This window comes from Homo sapiens, chromosome 21 (assembly GCF_000001405.40).
Source record: "Homo sapiens chromosome 21, GRCh38.p14 Primary Assembly".
NCBI lineage: Eukaryota > Metazoa > Chordata > Mammalia > Primates > Hominidae > Homo > Homo sapiens.
Genome location: NC_000021.9, coordinates 45,147,587 through 45,163,419, shown reverse-complemented (window position 1 = coordinate 45,163,419; position 15,833 = coordinate 45,147,587). Strand labels below are relative to the sequence as shown.

The 15,833-nt window shown below is 48.7% G+C and overlaps 1 protein-coding gene across 28 annotated transcripts in view, besides 3 other annotated features; it reads right to left on the bottom strand.

The window, feature by feature from the left end:
• The window catches only part of ADARB1 (adenosine deaminase RNA specific B1), a 151,986-nt gene that overhangs the window by 63,144 nt on the left and 73,009 nt on the right, over window positions 1-15,833 (bottom strand). For 9 of the 28 annotated variants that reach the window (XR_001754787.3, XR_007067777.1, XR_007067778.1 and 6 more), the window contains exon 1: window positions 10,712-10,890. The exons of 17 other annotated variants lie outside the window; for them this stretch is intronic. Coding sequence is in view for 6 of the 11 variants with exons in the window: in XM_017028244.3 (XP_016883733.1) it covers window positions 10,712-10,811 (100 nt within the window). In the remaining 5 variants the exon portion in view is untranslated. Of the gene's footprint in view, window positions 1-3,196; window positions 3,320-10,711; window positions 10,891-15,833 lie in introns of those variants that run through there. 2 more of the 28 variants (XM_047440660.1, XM_047440661.1) reach the window with 1 other exon arrangement.
• Window positions 1,941-2,586: an enhancer, noted in NCBI's record as "H3K27ac-H3K4me1 hESC enhancer chr21:46580749-46581394 (GRCh37/hg19 assembly coordinates)". NCBI's record gives its function as "activates a minimal SCP1, AML or CMV promoter by ChIP-STARR-seq in naive H9 embryonic stem cells {active_cell/tissue: H9 hESC(naive)}" and the evidence as "EXISTENCE:reporter gene assay evidence [ECO:0000049][PMID:30033119]".
• Window positions 11,211-12,067: an enhancer, noted in NCBI's record as "H3K4me1 hESC enhancer chr21:46571268-46572124 (GRCh37/hg19 assembly coordinates)". NCBI's record gives its function as "activates a minimal SCP1, AML or CMV promoter by ChIP-STARR-seq in naive and primed H9 embryonic stem cells {active_cell/tissue: H9 hESC(naive and primed)}" and the evidence as "EXISTENCE:reporter gene assay evidence [ECO:0000049][PMID:30033119]".
• Window positions 13,739-14,334: an enhancer, noted in NCBI's record as "H3K4me1 hESC enhancer chr21:46569001-46569596 (GRCh37/hg19 assembly coordinates)". NCBI's record gives its function as "activates a minimal SCP1, AML or CMV promoter by ChIP-STARR-seq in naive H9 embryonic stem cells {active_cell/tissue: H9 hESC(naive)}" and the evidence as "EXISTENCE:reporter gene assay evidence [ECO:0000049][PMID:30033119]".

Genomic DNA, 15,833 nt, shown 5'->3' with positions numbered 1-15,833 from the left:
GCCTCATCCTCAGTGTCCACAGCTCTCAGCCAAGTGCTTCCTGTGAGGAAGAACGTGGATGCTTCCAATTGTGATGTCCTCAACCAACTAATCACAGCCAGGGAATGTTACCTGTGCCCTGTTGCCTTTTGGGACCTTGTGGGCTGTATCCACTTTCTCCAAAACACATCTAAACTTGACTGTATACGAACTGACCTCTAAGTCCTTAAATCAGAAATATTTGTAAATGAAAAGGCTTTAAACTGGTTACTATTGATGTGAAAGGGATCTACTTAGTACAATCCTCATTAACAACTGTTTTCCCAGGCAGCTATTAGCATCCTCTTCTAAGGAACAGAAACACCTCATGGGTCACTCTGGATGGGAAGCCTCTGACCAGCCTGCCGTCTGCAAAACGACAGTTGGCCGAGTGGGCAAGGGAGCACTGGGTGAGAGTCTGGGACTGAGCCTGTTTCAGGCCCTCGAGCTCTCCGACCTGGGTCTGAAGTGTCTGGTGCTGTGAGTTAAGATTCACATCTGGGTCTGAAGTGTCTGGTGCTGTGAATTCAGACTCACATCTTCTTGGAGCCTGTTTCAGGCCTTTGAGCTCTCCAACCTGGGTCTGAAGTGTCTGGTGCTGTGAGCTGAGAGTCTCTCCCATCTTCTTGGTTGTGGTTCTATAGGCGGAGCAAGCCCTGGTGATTCAGTGCTAGCACAGCACCTGCATGAAGGAGCGCTCATGGGCATCAGCTACTGTCCCTAAAGCAAGGAGTGGGGCTTTCATGGACAGATCTGCATGCCCCTGCTTCCCCATGTCCCTAGTCAGGTGTGGCTCTTTTTGGTAAATCAGAACCCAGTGTCATAGGATCCTCAGGGTATCATTTTTCTGGCCAGAAACCTCCATCACTGGTGGCGCCTTTACCCGAGTTTTGCTTGGGCCTGCTGGGCTCATTCTGCCCACACAGCCTGGCAGGCTGCGCTCGGCTCACACTTCCAGCCTGGATCCCATGCCTGCCAAGGGGGAGCCAGGTGTGGAGTGGCAAGGGGTGTGTGAGTGAGTGGGCGTGGGGTCCAGCCATTGTGTACAGCCAGGCAGGCGAGACGGGCAGACCTAGGCACTGGCATGGACACTGGCTCCCTGCAAGGCTGCAGCTGAACCAGGCATACCACACACAGCTTCCATGGCTGAAACCAGGGAATACGGTAGTGCCCAGAAGCTTGGAAACACCAGGAACCGCAGGGCCCCAAAGGGGGCGTCACTGCCCTGGCTCAGGGAGCTCCTAGGTCTGGGCTCCTTGAAGGGCTGCAGCTCTTCTCTCCTTCTCTCCTCCTCTCCTCATTGCCTGCAATGTGGCAAACAATGGGTGTGTTTCAGCCCTGTTTGTGTTACAGCTCTTTCAGACCTGCCATTCAGCAGGTCCTGAGTTCTTCTCCCATGTCCAGGAAGAATGAGGTGCGTGGACAAGTGGAAGGTGAGCAATGTGAAGAGGTGCTTCATTGAGTGACAGAACAGCTCAGAGAGACCCACAGTGGGCAGCTATTCTCCATAAGCAGGTCATCCTGTCTTCTGCCCAAGTCTGGCTGAGTCCGGGGGTTTTTATGGGCTTCAGAGGAAAGTGTGTGCTGATTGGTGCATGGGCAGTCACGGGTGAGCCCTGGAAAAGCACCGTAAGTTCTCACTCCGGTCTGTGGAACTGACAGCCTGGGCCCCAGGCCTTAAGTCCTCTGTAAGCTGAAGGTGGAGTTTCACCAGGGACCCTCCCCTTTCTTCCCAGGAGCTTGTCTGCCTCCGGCCACCATTATCCTGCCATCCACAGTGTGCATGGCATCCAGAGTGTTCCTGCCGAGGGGCGGCTGCAAGGCCTGCGCTGTGCTTCCCTCAGCCCCGCGTTGGCCTCCCTCTCATGCTTGTCAGCACCCAAAGTCTGGGGGTGCCGAGGCAGCAGGGTGCTGGCATGTCAGCACTGCCCTGAGCAAACACACACCCAGCCAGGTTGTGACAGTGTCCCAGCTCGGCCACAACTTTGATCTGAAACTGGAGCAGGTGCTGGGAGTGGGGACAGACCAAGCAGTGGGAGCAGGCACTTCTCAGCCTGTCGGGGCAGGGGGGCTTCCTGGGCCCTGGTGAGTGCAGGGATGCCTGGGTCCACAGCTTCTAATGGACGGCTGCAGCTGTGCCCAGGATGGCAGGGCTCCTGCCCCTCCAACTTGGAAGGGGGTGGGGCTTCCACCTGTTCCCGGTTCCCACCAACTTGCGGAGCACAGAGCCCTAGCCTCCCCCGCTGCAGCTGACACCACGGCAGCAGCAACTCCAGACAGGCTGCAGCTGCCATCACCAGCCTCATCCACACTACAAAAACTGATATTGACTAAAACACTAGATGGTACTGACTACAGCAAGCAAATGCAGGCCAATTAATCCTGCCAAGTTATTTGCAGTATAAATCCTATAAAGCAGATCTTTAAAACCCTGGCTATTTATACTCTCAGAAGAATTACAGTAATTCTTACAGAAATATATTTTCAGTCATGTTTCAACTTGTTTTCTGTTAACCTTCTAGGTGCACACCTTCTATGTAAGTCGATTACTTAACAACACAATGACCCTAACAGAAAATAGGATAATAACACAGAGTTCAACTTGTGGAAATGAACAAAAAAGGAGTAAAACCCAAATTCAGTACACGCTCTGTAAGGAGGACACTCACCATAATGAAATGATTAAAAGGCAAATAAAATTCTACCTTGTTTACAATAAAATCCATAACGTTATGACTGGAAGTCATATCCAGGAAGATTTTTAGTAAGAATTCCAGACACATAAAATCTAGAACATGCTGCTTATATTTAATTAATTAACAATATTTAGCACTGAGATAACTAAACAGAAGTAAGCAACTGGAAGTATTTTAAAAAACACAATCATCATGGCAAAGCAGTGCTGGGGCAACTCTAAGGGAACAAAGCTGAATCAGAGAGCATGGTGAGCGTTACAAATGTGCATGGAACATGTGAACACACATACATCACAAGACAGTAAGCAAGAAGGCTGAAAGCCACTCCTTTTAATGGGAGTTAAAACAACCAAACAGAAAGAGACTATGCGAACGTCTGTAAGCCCTCCCACTGCAGCGGCTCCCGGCAGGGATCTCCCACCTCCTTCGGTCCAGCTCTACGAGGATCTGTGAAAATGATGGAGGTTAATTCCTTCAGTTACCTGCACCCTGAGTCCACTGGATAAAGACCATGTGTTTTCCTTCCATCTAAGGGACCTGGAGCATGTGCCTTGACAGAAGGCAGCCCCTACCCGATGGGCCTGGAGGCAGACATGGTGACCTCCCTGAAAGAGAACCAGGTTTCTGTGGTCAACCTTCCAGCAGCCTACTATGATCGATAATTGTCTTTAGACAAACACCCAATTAAAAAATGTGAGCAAAATTCATAAAAGAATAAATGCAAACAGGCTTTAATACGTTGACTTTTGAAAGTTTCCTTTCATTTTGCAGAAAGCAAAGATAGTTTTCAAAGTGACACACAGCGCATGGAAGTGACAGGTTGGCTCAGGAACAGGGAAAAGGGTCACTTTCTATGGTGAGCAGCACCCATCTGGCCTCTTGGAAGCCAACACGGCCAGGCCTCCCATGGGGAGCAGCCCCCTTGGCCTGACATACCTTGTTCACACTGCTGTCCAGAGGGTAAAACAATCCCAAAAGTCAGAAGAGGCTGGCAATGGGAGAGGACTATGGTGGTTAAGAGGTGCAAAGGGGCCTATTCGCCTCCCATTGGACACCAGGAATGAAGCTGGAGGGATGCGGCCACCCCTCTTGTATGCTCACATCATCCTCCAAGGCAGAAGTAAGGCATTACTGAGCCCCTGGTCATAGTAAGACAAAAATATAAAGCCTTAAACACTTCTAAATCTAATTCTAGTACTACGAATTGGAAGAAAATTATTATGGTTTTGCTCCCATTCAAAGATTTAGCTTCAAGGATGATGATATAGTTTGGCTGTGTCCCCACCCAAATCTCGTCTTGAATTGTAGCTCCCATAATTCCCACGAGTGTGGGAGGGACCCAGTGGGAGATAATTGAATCACAGGTGCAGTTTCCCCCATACTGTTCTCGTGGTAGTGAAGAAGTCTCATGAGATCTGACTTTTTAAAAGGAGTTTCCCCTTTCGCTTGGTTCTCATTTCTCTCTTTGCTGGCTGCCATATAAGACGTCCCTTTGTTCCTCCTTCATCTTCCGTCATGATTGAGAGGCCTCTGCAGTCATGTGGAACGGTGAGTCAATTAAACCTTACTTTATAAATTATTCAGTCTTTATTAGCAGTGTGAAAACAGACTAATGCAGATGATCACCTTTGCTTTTTCATAAAGTTTATTTTGTATCTATGTTTCCGAATTCTTACAATGAACATGTACTGCTTCCATAAGAAAAAAAATAAATTTTATTCTAAGCCTCCCTCCCACATACACGAATATGCCTTACTCTATACAGAATTCCACATGCAGTCTGGAAGGGGAGCAGACCCACGGGAGACTGAGTCACACTCCAACCCACCACAAGCTGTCTCTGCAGTCTTATCTGCAACCACCGTCAACCGAAAGAACGGCACACTTTTCCATGATATTACACAAAATATTGTATGCCCTGTACATTCTAGCATACTGTCAGGTCTCAGACAGCCTGTGCAGTTGGCCCAAATACAGGCAGAATAAATAGCTGCTAAGCAGAGGGACACCCGCGGGGTGTGGGGATGTGAGGAAGGTAGGACAGCTCAGGGTGCTTTGGTGGAGGAAACACATATGGGACCTGTGAGCCCTGGGCATGAGGCTGCTGCACAGTGGCCTCGGGGAGGTCCCTCCCCAAATCCCCAAGAGCCACAAAATGATGTCACTGGTACAGGACCAAAGATCCCTAAACTCTCTGACCCAATTTTGCAAATCTAAGGCATTTATTCCATCCTATTATCACTACTACAACATACTATATATTTTACACCTAACAAATTATGTGTTTTATAAGGCCTAGAGCAAAACTTCCAGATGGTCCCGTTTGCTTCCACATTCTGCCTCACTGTGTTCTACACTGATACCCTCTTCAGATGGGACTCTGGAGGCGATGATCAGAAAGAACCCCCAAAGGATGAGGCCAGTGGCTGAGAGAACAATGGACAAGGGAGTTCCCCCCTCCCGCCCCAACCCGAGAAGAATCAGGGTCTGGAGAATGAGGATGCTCCCTGCTGTGCAGGGTGCAGGAAGCTGGCCAGACAGGGCCAGGCTGGGCCCTTCCGCCTCCTCTCCTGCATAATTGTATTTTATCGCAGTTACCCTGTCCCTGTGTGGCTCCCAGGCTGCTGGCCCAAGAAGAGCCACAGCCAGACCAACGAAACAACAATCAGTGATCACCCCGAGGTCTGGACACCAGCTGGAAAGAGGTGATGGGCAAGGACACAGGCTCGCCTCCTGTGGGGGTGCTGTGCAATTTGTGGTGTGTGCCACTGCATCTGGGCCAACTCACACAGCTTCCTGCGTGCTTCTCTGTATTCTTTCTCACCTTTCTATTGCTGGACTAGAAGCAACTGCCAGGGTGACTTCTGTTAGAGAACAGAGCTTAAGGATGGAAGAAACCTAGGTCCCTGAGTGACTTCGAGGGCCAGCTGTGCCACAGAGCATCACCCTTGCTTCTGATGTGGTCACAAGCCCTGGCCCTTCTTGTCCCTCTCCCTCGTTACCCCCACCCTATGCACATATGTCCATACATGTTCACACATACAGAGCCACACTGATCCACACGCTTGTTTCCCGCCTCAGTCAGGCATGCCTAAGCAATGGCAAGCTTTAGAAAGCCACATGAACTGCTGAAGGAGACATCCAGCAACAAAATCACAGGTCAGAGCCGGCACACGAGAGCACAAACCTTCACAGGGCCCTGCCTTCGTGAAGTTGCTCCGTCCTTCACAGTGCAAACGCAGCAGCAATGCATTTGAAAGACTGTCCACTTTGCTCTACTTAACACAACCTAAGTAAGTTCCTGCTTATTTGAAAATTGTAGTTAATTTTCTGGAATCAAAGGGAAAAAAAAGACAACGATGTAAACTTTATTTTCAATATTAACACTTATAACTGCACTAAGAATTGGCACTGTTCAATCTGCTTTGGATCCAATTTCCATGGTATTTCAAGTGCAATTTCACAAATCTACTTCTACATGCTTACTTTAGAATTTCAACTGTTAACCTAGAGTGTATGCACCTGTGCTTGAAATGCACCCTGTAGCTGAGAGGAGCTCCTGCCCAGGCAGCAGAGTCTTTCTTGTGCTGCGAGGCCCATCAGCACAGATGCAGTGAAAGGTACACACATAGCCATTACAACGGGTTCTAGGAGATCTGGGCCTTCTATCCATAACGCTGCTGTCCACTGGGGGTTCAACTTTCCTTACTTGGGCCCCTCTCCTGGCAGACACTGCTAGAGAATGGTGTCTTCCTTTCTCACCAGATACTGGAGAATATCCCTCCCCACTACTACACATACAGTGCAGCAGTGACAAATCACATAAATCCATCCTCTTCATGCACCTAGTGGGATTTCAGGTGGCCCATTCCAGAACAAACCTCAAGCCTGAAAGCTGTGGCTGCCCCCTGCCACTGCCATCCCATTACCCCCATCTTCCCTAAGCATGTTCAAACCCCTGGTGCCAGCATGCAGAGAAGGGTGTAATGAGTACTTGTTGGATGAACGGAACAATGTAGAGAAGTGGGTGCGTGGGGGGGTGGATGGATGAATGGATGACAGATGATGGCTGATGGGTGATGGGTGAGTGGGTGGGTGGATGGATGGAAGACAGATGATGGATGATGATGAGTGGGTGCATGGGTGGATGGATGGATGAATGGATGATGGGTGATGGGTGATGATGGGTGGGTGGGTGGGTGCGTGGGTGGATGGATGAATGGATGATGGATGATGGGTGATGATGGGTGGGTGGATGGATGGACGAATGGATGATGGATGATGGGTGATGATGGGTGGGTGGATGGATGGATGGATGGATGATGGGTGATGGGTGATGATGGGTGGGTGGATGGATAGATGGATGATGGGTGATGGGTGATGATGGGTGGGTGGATGGATGGATGGATGATGGGTGATGGGTGATGATGGGTGGGTGGATGGATGGCTGGATAGATGATGGGTGATGGGTGATGATGGGTGGGTGGGTGGATGGATGGATGGATGACAGATGATGGGTGATGATGGGTAGGTGGATGGATGGATGGATGAATGGATGATGGATGATAGGTGATGATGGGTGGATGGATGGATGGATGAATGGATGATGGGTGGGTGGGTAGATGGATGGATGAATGGATGATGGGTGATGGTGGGTGGTTGGGTGGGTGGATGATGGGTGATGGTGGGTGGGTGAGTGGATGATGGATGATGGGTAATGGGTGATGGTGGGTGGGTGGGTGGATGGCTGGATGATGGATGATGGGGGATGATGGGTGGGTGGGTGGATGATGGATGATGGGTAATGGGTGATGAGGGTGGGTGGGTGGATGAATGGTTGGATGAATGGATGATGGGTGGGTGGGTGGATGGATGGATGGATGATGGATAATGGGTAATGGGTGATGATGGGTGGGTGGGTGGGTGGATGGATGGATGAATGGATGATGGATGATAGGTGATGATGGGTGGGTGGGTGGGTGGATGGATGAATAGATGGGTGATGGGTAGATGCGCAGATAGATGGATGACTAGATGGAGAGATGGATGATGGATGCATGGAGAGATGGATGATGGATGCATGGGTAGATGGGTGGATGGATGGGTGAGTGGATGGATGATGGATGGGTGGGTAGATGGGTAAATGAGTGAACAGATGGATGATAGGTTGACGGACAGATGGATGGACTACAATGAGTAGATGGACTGGTATATGGATGGGTGGATAAATGCCATCCCGTCCTATACCTCCAGGTGCTACCATGCTCTGCATCTCACAAAGGGTTGCTCTCTTTGTAAGGTGAGAGTCATGGCTGGCACCAGAGAAGGAGGCTGGTACGACAGCCGCCTGCTTCCTCCCCTTGGCCAACTGGCTCTGCTCACTCTGTGAAGGGTGAAGGTCAGGAGTTCCAGGGCTTCTCCTCCAGAAGTACTCAGGGGGAGCAGGCCTCTCTACGTTTGGACCTCCAGCTCCACAGAGGTCCCCACACCCTGTTCACCTCTATCCTGGAAACATGGGGGAGCCCAGCCTCAGACTAAAACACAGTTCAGAACTGCTGCCAGAGGACAGTGGTCTTCACATGTGCATACACGACTAAGCACAGATAAGGATGTTATCACATAGGGGACAAACAAAACACTCAGTGAGAAATACATCTGGAAATACAGGATGCTATTCAGACAGCAGGAGGGTGGGGACTGAAGGACTGCCTCTTTGTTCCCATCTCTCTCCCCTCCCACTGGTCATGAACTTAGCAGCAGTGCTGTGAGTGAATGAGGCTACAGCAGCAGCCACTGAGCACTGGCTGGGTGCAGGAAGCGCTCCATATATGGGCACTAACTGCTACTCAGAATCCTGCCCTGTGGCTCCCAGACCTCTCCCAGGTCTCGTGCTGGCAGCATCTGCCAGGGTGGCAGTGTCTGCTTGATGGGGACTCTGGCCAGTATTTAAATGGTACATTATTCTTTAGCCCTATTTTCCTGATGATTAAGCTAACCCATCTGAGGCTCACACACAGTCAACAGTCAATTATTTGCCCTGTGGAAGGCAGTAACTGCAAGTATAATCCAGGAGTGATGAAAAAAATCACTGAAATTATATTGCCACTGAAGCCAACTAAAACCCGTAACTTGCTACTACATTGTTTTCATCAAAGAATTACATTTTAAAAGGCGTACATTGTATCAGTCTTAGGGAAAAAACCATGCAATACACATGATTTACAGTACCTTAGAAATATACAGTATAAAAGACTATTTTACATCTTATAAAACTTTGCCAGTTTGGTATAAATGTGATGGCCAATCTTAATAATATCGATAATTTCAAAGGTATTTTTATTAGTTTCAAAGATAATGCTTATTACAAAATACCAACAGCGAGAACTAACACATAACATGATACTGTTTAGTAACACTCACAATGAACTTACTCACATAGGAATGACCAAGGAACACAAGCCATTTAATATGTGGGCCTCATTGTTACATCTTATAACCCTCTCAATTTCTTATAACCTTGGTCTGAAAATGCAACATATTTGAGAGTGGTTTTCCCACTGCAGAATGAGATTATGGAATGCATGAAAAAGACATTTTAAGCTTGAATCACAGTAAATTCCAAAAGAATGATGACAGAATTATTCTTGTACTTCTCAATATTTTTCCCAACTTAAATAATTAGTGATGAGTGTCCATGGGAAAAGTGGTGGTAATTCTAAATTGAGGGTATTTGGTAAAAATGTCCTTTAGTTTTTGCCTGTGCCTTTGTTTTACTCCCTATTGCCTGTCTTAGTGACATCTCAATTTCCAAAGCTTAACTGAGGAAACAAAAACAGGCCAATGCTGTGACCTCTTGAGGTGAGGGCAGAGGGGGCCGCACAGACTGGCTGTCCTGAGACCGCCCGTCAGTCCAGGAAAGCATCGAGGGTGTGGCATCCCCAGCCCTGGACACAAGCACCTGGCAGCACGGTGCACAGAGGGCCCAGGGTCAGGGGTTCCCCACTCCCAGACACAGACTTCCATTAGGTGCTGTCACCTTTGTTATATTACAAGGTACTATTACAAGATTGCTGACTTTGAGATTCATCTGTTCTTCTTCTTAGGAAGCCACACCAAAAAACCGAGGTTAATTTTACTTCCTGAAGAAACAGCCATCTCCTGCCACAGCATGTCCCAAGGGCCCTGTGGTGGTGAAGCGCTGTACTCCAGTCCTGTCGGGTGGGGGACACTAAGGGGGCGCCCAGAAGACACAGAGGCAGAGGCACTGATCACGCCTGTGTTCAGCTGTTCTCCGGGCTAGACACATCTTTTCACTAAGGCATTTTCTATTAATTATTTCATATTATACAAAGAGAAAAAAAAAACATCAACAGCTTTTAAAGCAGCAATTTAGGTCCAAAAACCAGTAGCTTGTGATGTGTATAGTCATGGACAACTTTTGAATCTGGTTTTGAGAAAAAAAATCTAGATTTTAATGACTTAAAACATTAAGTTGAATTAAAAACTGGTATTAACCTGGAGTGCAGAATGTAAGGAATTTGCTCTCCATTCTTTTAAAGGGGAAATATTTTCACAATGGTTGCTCAGCCTTGCTTTCTGCAGCATGAAGAACAGTTTTAATGTAGAAAAGTCATTAATGAAGAGTGCGGCAAAGGAAATCTCATATAAGCATCTGTCTCTGGGAGAAAAACCTTTTCTGTAGCTCAAAGCTACAAACTTTAAAGTTTTATAAATATCTTTCCAAAGACATACTCCAGACTCTGAAGCTAAATGATTTCTATTCATGTTTACAGACATGTTTTTGAATCTTCCTTTTTAAGTGCCCCTATCTAAAATTCTATAAAATGCCAACAACAAAAAAGGCACTCAAAAAGGGAAAATAGGAAGTAACTGGCATCAGCAAGATTAATTCACAAAGCCGTCTATCCCAGAAAACACTTCTGTATTGCATTAAAGACAAATGCTTCACACTGAAGAATAAAAACTAAATGAATTACCTTTCCTCTCAGAGCGCTTCTTGCGCCTCCTTTTATACCGACGCCCCATGATGCTGAAAAAGGTCCCCATGTGCAAAGGCCCAGTGGTGGACGACGCCATGCAGACACGCCAATGCCAGTCCGGCCGGCCCCAGCCTCATTCTGTCCCTCAGTCACTCGGGGCAGCAGCACACCGACTCACTTCCGTGTGCCGGCAGCTGCGACAACAGCAGCCCCTACCGACGAGGGAGCCTCCTCCTCTGCCTCGGGCCCATTCATCATGCCGCAGTTAGGCAGAACTAGGCTGAAGGGGCCCACACACCACAATGACTTCAGAGCACACCACCCAGAGAATGACATGTGACAGCTAACCGTTCAGCGCAGTCACAGTAAAACACCACGAGCAGAGGGGAGAGAACGACAGCCGTGAATCTTCTAGGGAAACAAATCTCCCACAGCAGACGTACCAAAGTCCTGTTTAAATGGAAATCCTAATACAAAAAATCTATCAATAAAAGAGTACAGTTTAGAAAATAAAACTGCAAAAAGTAACAGGCTACCACACAACACAATGCAGAGGCTCAGCAGACGCCAGCTGATGAAAACAGCTCCATATAAAGTGCAGGTGAGTGGTCAGGATGTCACCAGTGAAATCCCTGGGACAGGAAACTGCAGGCCACTGACAAATGGATCCCCCCGCCCCCAGAGAGTGCTCTTCCTCCTCTCTTAACTCACGTGTCTCGGACCAATGCTGACCTGCCTTGTTCATTACTGCAGAGCAGGGGCACAGCTCATGCCCCAGGTGAATGACACACAGCCAAGGGAGGGGCAAACGCCAACATCTTCCCATTTTCCACTGTGCCTGGCTTGATCAGCACAGCCAGTCTGTGACTAGCACAGTACCATGGCCAGCCTGGGGCGAGCAGGGACACACATCACACACATGTACATGCACACACATCACATACACACATCATACAGCACTTGGTGCCTCTGCCACTCGGGATCCAGCATTCAGGGCTGGCAAAGCAGAACCCACAGCCCTCAGCCTCCTCTTGTCTAGAAAAACGCTGTTCAGGCCCCAGGGAGATACCTCCCCTGAGATGGCCTGTGTCTCTGGAACAAAAGGCAGCTGCATCCAAATGCCCTGAAGATTAGGCTGTCTTGGAAGGAGTCCGATTATGGGGAGGAGTCAAGCAGAAGAAGCACTCATAGGCAAAAGAAAAAAAAGACAAATTAATTAGTCAGATTCTTTCTCTTGCCACAATGCAATTACTGTCTCGTGTAACAAAGTACCTTTTCCTAATAATGACCAACATCCACTTTCTAATTCATTATTCCAATTAGTGCAATGCTTGTGACAACTGCACATGGCACCTAAGGAAATTATGCCATATTAAGCAATTCTTATTACTCTTAAATTTGTGTGTGTCCAGACACACTCTGCGTAAGCATAGTGAATTCTTTTCATTTTCTATTGCCTCAGCATCTATCTGGAATATGAGCTGCACTTTCTCCTAGTAGCGGCAGAGTTCAGCCACCCCTGACACTTTGTAGTTCTACACCACACCCAGTGGCTCAAGCCAGTACCAGAGATGAGAACCTAGAGGCATCTTTCACTCAGGCACCTGCCCACACACTTCAAGTGACCCCACCCTACTCCCTTATTTGTTCTGCTGGTTGGCTGCAGTGCTCTCTCTCTCTGCCTGACCCTTTGTTCCTGCTTGCATGACCCAGGGACAGAGGACTGCCCTCCTGACTCATGGCACCCTCCCTGCTCAGGACCTGTAAGTAAAAATCTTTGAACATGTTTCCCCCATTGTGTGGTGTACTGAATTTGTGCCTGAATTTGTGTTGGGCTCCTGGCACGAGTGACGGTCAGGCAGGAATAACCTGGACATGGATCAGACAAGAGCCACCAGGGCATGTGTCAGTACACACACATTTCCAGAGGGACCCCTTGGTCACAGGTGGAACAACGAGACATCAGGCCCGACCGCCAGGCAAAGCAGCATCTCATGAAAGCACTGGAAACAGCATGCCCAGCCCCTTCACTTCTCGTTAGGGTGGGGCTGCCAGCCACTCTGGCACTGGAACCCCAATGTAGCTGGAGGCCCTCAAAACACTGTAAGACTCAGGATCCATGTCAGCAATCAGACAGATGTCAGACATCAGAATTATCAATAGTTTTATTTCTTATAAAATTATTAATATGATTTAACTAAATTTTCAAAGTATTAAATTTAAAACTCAGCTTTAAACAATTTTGATTTAAACATTTCACATTAACTACTTTATATCTTATAACTTAATAATTTAGAAAAAATAATTTTTTGAAAACACAAAAAATTATAATTTTTGCTTTGTTATTTCCTTAAAATTCAAATTTTTGATAGAAAGATATTCAAATTTTGTATACTTCAAATTCAATGACATTTTTGTTTGTTTGTTTGTCTGAGACAGAGTTTTGCTCTGTTGCCCAGGCTGGAATGCAGCGGCAGGATCTCAGCTCACTGCAACCTCCACCTCCTGGATTCAAGCGATTCTCCTGCCTTGGCCTCCCAAGTAGCGTGCGCCACCACGTCTGGCTAATTTCTTTTGTATTTTTAGTAGAGACGGGGTTTCACCATGTTGGTCAGGCTGGTCTCGAACTCCCGACCTCAGGTGAACCGCCCTCCTTGGCCTCCCAAAATGCTGGGACTACAGGCGTGAGCCACCGCATCTGGCCCAATGACATGTTTTATTTTTTAATCCTTTAGATCAAGTGGTAGCAAACATTTTCTGTAAAGGGGCAAAGAGTAAGTACTTTAGACTTCGTGGCCATGTCTCTGTTGCACTATTTTATTTTTTAACAACTCTTTAAAAACTGTAAACACTGCACAAAAAACAGGATGTAGGCCGCTGTGCGCTAGCCCCGCATTAGGCCGTGAGCACCAACAGAACAAGCATTATCCGAAAATGCTTAATATAAAACATGATTAGTCATTTGCAGAAATAAAAACAAAATAATCAATGTTATGGGAGATATATGCACTTATTGATAAATCATGTCTTGATCCTGTTACTCATTCAAACATGAGTGGCCTCTGAACAGAACACCTAGATAACAGTTAAATTAACAGTTAAATTCAGTGGTCTTTGATATTTTGCCAACATTAATTCATATAAAAACCATAGGTCCCCACATATTTTTTCCATTTTGAAGATGTAGTTGTCAAAGAAGAAGACACAACATATTGTATCAATAGTGCACTGGCTTGACTTAAAACTCTGGAAGATTTAGACAAGATATGCGGCCCCCATTTGAACTCTGGTGCCCCAACCCCTGCCAGTGTCAGGGACAGGCCCAGAGACAGCAGGGCCACCTGAGTGCCCCCAGATGCTGTGCACAAGGAGGCAGCCAGCAACTCATCAGCATGCATGGATCAGCAGCCGTGATGGATTTCTGCTCCATGTTCCCAGTACAGAGGACAGAGCTGGTGTCAGGATGAGCTTCTGAGATAGAGTAAGGCAAGTGTGGAGCCTGCCGAGAGGAATAGGGGCCTAAGACAGGAACAGAGGCCACATCAGGAGCCAGCAGAGGCTGATGCATCATGGGAAGCTGCCCTGGGGCCCCATGTTGTTGCACCCAGGAACATGCGGGTGTCAGGGTTGTGCCGGGCCAGACCTGAAAGGGCCTTTCACGCTGAGGTGATGTCTTTGAACTCCATCCTGAAAGCCATAGAGACTCAGCAGGTTTGCATCCAGCAGTAAGGAAGGTGGACTGATTATGTGGGCATAGGTGAGGAAGACAGGAGAGAGGGAAAAGGAGACAGTCACAGCCCTACCTCAGGCCAGTCAGGGACGAGACAGCCTAAACTCTCCCATGGCGGCATGGGTGGAGAGAGAAGCTGGGGAGAAGAAATGATGCAGAGATCTCGCCAGGCCAGGGAGCTGGGCTGGGCAGCCAGGAGTAGAGAAACAACGCTCCCAGAGGAGGGGCGGATGTTAGAGCAAAGCCGAGCCCAGCTGCTGGCGAATGCATCTGTGATGCCCATGAGCAGCCAGGATTTCAGCTCTGCTCTACTTCTTGACTGCTGCAGAACTCAGCACCAGCTCCAGTGCCCTCAGAGCCCTGATTTTTCACAAACCGACTCCTCCAAGCTTCCCCTGTGGGCGGGATACACAAGCCAGAGTCGCCTTGTCACATCTCTTCTCTCTCCACCAGGTCATGGGCAAACCTTCCTGACATACTTTACGACATTACAGCAAAGGGGAGCCCAGGCCCTGGTGCTAAGGCAGGAGCCTCAGTGTCATCAGGTGGGAGCCTCTGCTGCCTGTCCGGATTCTTTCCTTCAATGCTGACAATACTGGGGCCGTCCCAGGACAGTGAACTAGCAATGGGGCACCTAGGGCCAGCCTGACACCCACGGGCAATCAGCCACTGGTAGCTGTGACTCCACCTTAATTCCTTTTACCCAGCTCACACCCTCACGGAGGCTGCCATGGCCCTGAGGGCTTGGGAACTGGTGGGCAGGTCCGTGAGGGCATAAAGGAGTGAAAACCAAGGAGGAGGTGAGTGGGACAGAAGCTGTCTGCAAAGGCTGCCCCCACGTCTGGGGCAGGATCCTCGGGGAAGCAGAGCCTCCGTTCTCACAGATGCTTAGCTTGTGACGGGGGCTGGGAGGGGAGAACGCCTGTTTCTGACAGTGATGCCGACAGGCCTCTGGTGGGGTGAGTTCGAGAGGGCTGTACCGCAAGGCCCTGCACATCACTCGACGGAGCCTCACCAGGCAGTTGGCACAGGCGCGGCAGCCTCTTGCTCTCTCTCGGTGACAGAGGAGAAGTGGTGCTGGTAAAGCAGGAACCGCTGCGTGGGGCTCAGAAGAGAAGCTGAGAGGATGCTGGGAGCAGAAACAGAGAGAGGTGCCGGGGGCAGCGTGGGAGCCAGGAAGGCTCACAGTTGCTGACCTGCATGGCTATCACAGCGAGATGGGGGACTAAGGCCAGGGCAACTGCAGAACGCGCTGAGCAACACGCGGGGCACGACCCACAGCTCTGGGGCCAGCCCGGCTGCAGGAGCCCCTCCTTCACTGCAGCTGTGCTGTTCCTGTGCACCCCCGGGGGCCTGGCCTGAGACAGATAAGATGACCCATTTTGGTAA